This window comes from Homo sapiens, chromosome 1 (genome assembly GCF_000001405.40).
Source record: "Homo sapiens chromosome 1, GRCh38.p14 Primary Assembly".
Taxonomy (NCBI): Eukaryota; Metazoa; Chordata; class Mammalia; order Primates; family Hominidae; genus Homo; species Homo sapiens.
The window spans coordinates 152,774,333-152,778,956 of NC_000001.11; the positions used below are offsets into that span (position 1 = coordinate 152,774,333).

General features: G+C 46.9%; 1 protein-coding gene across 1 annotated transcript; it reads left to right on the forward strand.

Moving 5' to 3' along the window:
* Positions 1 to 807: 807 nt before the first annotated feature.
* LCE1F (late cornified envelope 1F) lies at positions 808 to 2,692 on the forward strand. The gene is made up of 2 exons (NM_178354.3): positions 808 to 858; positions 2,018 to 2,692. The coding sequence occupies exon 2, from the start codon at positions 2,040 to 2,042 to the stop codon at positions 2,394 to 2,396; it is 357 nt and encodes a 118-aa protein (NP_848131.1). The 5' UTR covers positions 808 to 858; positions 2,018 to 2,039; the 3' UTR covers positions 2,397 to 2,692.
* Positions 2,693 to 4,624: the final 1,932 nt, after the last annotated feature.

A 4,624-nucleotide genomic window follows, 5' to 3' on the forward strand; every position in this document is an offset into this window, starting at 1 on the left:
GTACGTAGGAGGAAAAAAAAATGGCCTTTAGTTTTAATAAGAGCCACCTAACTTAAAAGGCACCTGTGACTTTAAAAATTCCCAATGTCCATTAAAATCTCAGGTTTGCCTCTATTTTTCTTTCTATCTATCTATCTATCTATCTATCTATCTATCTATCTACCTATTCATCCATTTCCTAATTATAACCACATGCCACATACTATCTCAGCTACTTCCCCTTTGTTATCTTAATTAATTTGTAAATCCTGCAGAAAAGATATTTCTCTTATTATCTTCATTTAAAACATCAGAAAGCCAATGGCCAAAAATATTGAATACTTTGCCAGGGTCTCCAAGGCCTCTTTTCTCGACTTCTATGATGCACACACATGCCCATGTGCACATGGACAAACCCCATAATGCAGGCATGTGGATTTTTAACCAAGCTATATGGACCCAAAGGTCTAGATGGAAAATTAGTATCTAGAATAGAAGGAAAAATGAGTTGTTTGTGCAGAATTCATAAGTGTGACTACAAGACTGTGAAGAGAGCCATCTTCATAGGAAATAGGCCACGGAGGACTCCAGGAACCATGATGTCCATTTTCACCCACCACAAGCCCCCATTTCCACCAAGCTCTTTCCTAGCTGACAGCAGCTCCCCTGAACACCAATGAAGGACGGTATATGCAGAACTGCCAGTCACCACTCGTCACAAGACCTATGTGGGTGTCGGGAGGCAGGTCCTCTCATGCCCAGGCTCTGTCTCACCGCTGGAGGCAGCACCCAAGGACAGAATAAAAGGGCTCAGGGCCAGAGCATCCCATCCACTCACCTCCTGCGGTGCTGAAGAACCCTGTGCTGCCTGTGATCCTGGTAAGTGTGCCCTGGAAAAAGGAGCAGGGGCTTCCACAGAGGGATGCCCAGGCCAGGGAAGGAGGGGATGGATACTCAGACCAGGGCAGGAGTAGAGTCTAGGCAGGGCCTCAGGGGCCTGGAATTGTGATTGGCAAGGAATGGGGTGGGGGCAGAAAATTGGAAAGAGGAGGTAGAGGGGTGGGGTGGAGTGAGAGAGATTAAGAAGAACTGGTAAGATCTGAAGGGCTGTATGACACAGATTTAGAGGAACCAAATTGTTTTCAGTTGCTCAGTGTGTTTCTCTGGTTTTAGAGAATAAACACATTGGCCACTGGATGTTGCTAGAGTGGGCTGCATAGTGGGAATATAATTTTGGAAATACAGACATACTCACTTTTAGAAAAGATATGCTGAGAACACTGCTACTTAGAGGAAGAAAGGATCAAAGACACCTGTGGATCTTGTTAGATGCCAACAAGAAGATCTGTAGTGGAAAACTGAGTGCACACTGGAGTTTAAAAGCCATGTGACAGTGCCTGGGGACAGGCCTGGGGAGGCAGGATGTGCTAAAGGGCAGAGCCCAGGATGGGAACCAGGGGACCCCGGAACAAATGTGACTGTTAATGAATAACTTTGGGCCAGTGAAGTTACCTCTTTTGGCTTCAGTTTCTTTATTTATATATTGAGTTGGTTGGAACAAATTGACTCCAACATCCTTTGCGGTTATAGTTTTCTCTATTTCTGCAAACTGAAATATATCAGTTCTTCCAATAGAAATTTATTTTGATTTTTCCTTAAAGAGATTTTCATCTCTAAACTGGTCTCAACATTGAACATTTTCAGAATTCTTGGTGATGTGATAGAATGAATGCTGGCCCGGAGCCAATTTATTTCCTGGACTTCTCTCCCACACTTAGGAGCTTTTAATGAGCAGAAACTTTATTTACATATTTGGAGATTATATATTGCATGACAACATCTCAAATAAGGTTTGAAATGAGAATCCATGAATGAAAGCACTTGGTAAACATTGAGAGTGATAAAAACATTAGAGGTGATTTTCCTATGTTTGATATAAGGCTTTCAAAATGAAGGATCTAGAAATAATGCAGAAAGGACAAGAATAGGCAGGGGTGTCCTCTGCCTCCATCTAACTTGCTGTCTGACCCTCCTTCAGCTCCTGAACACCCGCCACCGAGATGTCTTGCCAGCAGAGCCAGCAGCAGTGCCAGCCCCCTCCCAAGTGCACTCCCAAGTGCCCTCCCAAGTGCCCCACACCGAAGTGCCCCCCAAAGTGTCCCCCTAAGTGCCCTCCTGTCTCTTCCTGCTGCAGCGTCAGCTCCGGAGGCTGCTGTGGCTCCAGCTCTGGGGGCTGCTGCAGCTCTGGGGGTGGTGGCTGCTGCAGCTCTGGGGGAGGCGGCTGTTGCCTGAGCCACCACAGACGGCGTAGGTCCCACCGCCACAGACCCCAGAGCTCTGACTGCTGCAGCCAGCCCTCAGCGGGCTCCAGCTGCTGCGGAGGGGGCAGTGGCCAGCACTCTGGAGGCTGCTGCTGAAGTGGACCCTGTGCCTAAAAGAGCAGATTTAGAGGCATGAAAGGGGCAACTTCATCTTCCTTGGGACTGACTGTGTTGCTGGGACATTTTAGTAAAGATTTCAAACTCTGTCCTGGAAGATTCCTCCGACCTAGAATCCAGAAATCTGCCCTCTCACAAGAATTCCTCTTCTGACCTCTGATTCCATCTGTGCGCCTGGCCTGGGAATACCAAATAGAAGTCCTTGCCTCATTCCCCTGATTTCCTTGGCAATCTCCATTGTGCATGAAACAATAAAACAAATAATCTGCTCATCACCTTTTTCTAGACTGCATTACTCTTGCTTGTAAATGTGAACAGAGGGATAAGCATGTCTTATCTCAGCTCCATCACCCGGTTATCTGGGCCTTGAAGCAGCATGGCTTGCTTAACTCCTTCAACTCCTGGTCCTCACCAGAGCTGACCCTCGCCCCTCAGTGCCTCAGCCAGGGTCAAGTCAGGAAAGAGAATTATGAGATGTACTTTAATAGACAGAAGTTTACATAAAAATTTGCTTACTTGGCATCAGAGAACTGACAAGACCAATAGAGGACAAAAAGAGTTCATGGAGGCGGTAACTGTCATTGCCACCATGCTACCAATGGCAGGTAAAGGGAGTGTCTTGAAACTATCAAAACTTAGAAACTTGGAGCAGTGGCCCACGAATTGAAACTCAGGCCTCTAGGAAAGGGGCCCTTCTCATGGGTGCCGGGGTCCCTGAGCTCAGAGGAGGGGCCCTGTGTGTCTGGACTCAGGCTTCTGAGGAGGGGCACAAGCTGGTGCTGGCCCTAGGGTCTGTCTCCATGAGAACCCAACAAGGTTGGTTTTGTGAGCGGGAAAAACTGCACACTGGAACCACTGTTGCTAAAGGGATAAATTGCTCCTGCTGGGGTGAGAAGTAATATTGGGGTGACTTGGAGAATTCTAAGGGAATCTAAGGAAGCCTGGTCCTTGTCACTCTGCCAGTCTCCCAAGTTCTCTCTAGCTCCGCCTACTGGCGGAGACTTCAGGAAACCTCCAGCAAAGAGAAATGAGATTGGCAGTCCCAACCCTCCATCATAAGGCCAGATGTGGAAGGGAGGACCAAAGTGGAGCGATGGTGACTTAATAACCCTGGTTATTAAGGAAGACAGACATTATCCTACTCAGCTGTCACCCTCCTTCTTCCTGATACCCTCACTCTCTCCCCATCTATTCTCCCAAAGAATTTTACCATGCCCCTCCTTCAGCAAACATAGCAAAATGACTCCATGTAGCTTATACTTTAAAAATGCAGACTGCTCTAGTACAAATAAACCTTTAAGCTCACTTCTGCAAATGGACCTCAAAGAGTTTCTGTTCTTGCCATTGCCTATACAAATGGAGTCATAAATTACAGACACACACATGCAAACACACACACACCCAAACACACACACATACAAACACACAAGTGTTCATCCCTGGTGTCAAGAGCTTGGAAACAATGTCCAACTCTGTGAAAGACACCCTGCCTCTGTGCTTCTAGAAGTCCTTCTGATTGTCGGTCCTGAGGTTTGGATTCTGGATCAATATCAGTCAGCCTCCTCCATTTCCAGGAAGCTTGCCTAATATGTCCTCTACTTTCACACTATTTTAACACTACAATCCTTCAATATTAGTATTCTCAGGCTATTCTCTCTCCTATCATGACTTTTTGTGTCCTTTCCTCCTGGAACCACCCAGATGTGCTTCCTCTTTCCCCATCTGGCATGGAATCCCTGAAGAAAAGGCAGTTTGAATCCCTATAAACTGCAACCCCTGTATTACCAGGCCTCTGCATTGGGATCAGGGATACTCCATAGGGACCGGCAGCGTATAGGCCTTGGGTGAGGACTTCCCGAGTCCAGGGGATATGGGTATTACACTATCCTGGGGGATTTCTGAGGAGAAGGGCTGGGCTTCTCCCCTTGTCCTGTGGCTCCCTAAGGCAGGGGAACCTGTGTTTTAACTTGAGAAGGCTTCCTCCAGGGAGGAGAGGACATCTCACAGTACTCCCGCTAAAGGTGACATTTTTATCTCTTTCCTACTTTTTCCAAGCTCTAAGGACCAGAGCTGTTTAGACAGGGACTAACAGATGCTTCAAGGTAAGGAGCTCCTTAAATACTAGGACATCAGTTTTCTGCAGGGTCCCTGTAAGTCTTCCCTTCTTCTTCGCTCTCTGATGAGTCCAGAAACCAGTATCAAGCAGT

Coding starts and splice junctions, on each gene's coding strand:
- LCE1F (NM_178354.3), top strand. CDS start 2,040: ATGTCTTGCCAGCAGAGCCAGCAGCAGTGCCAGCCCCCTCCCAAGTGC.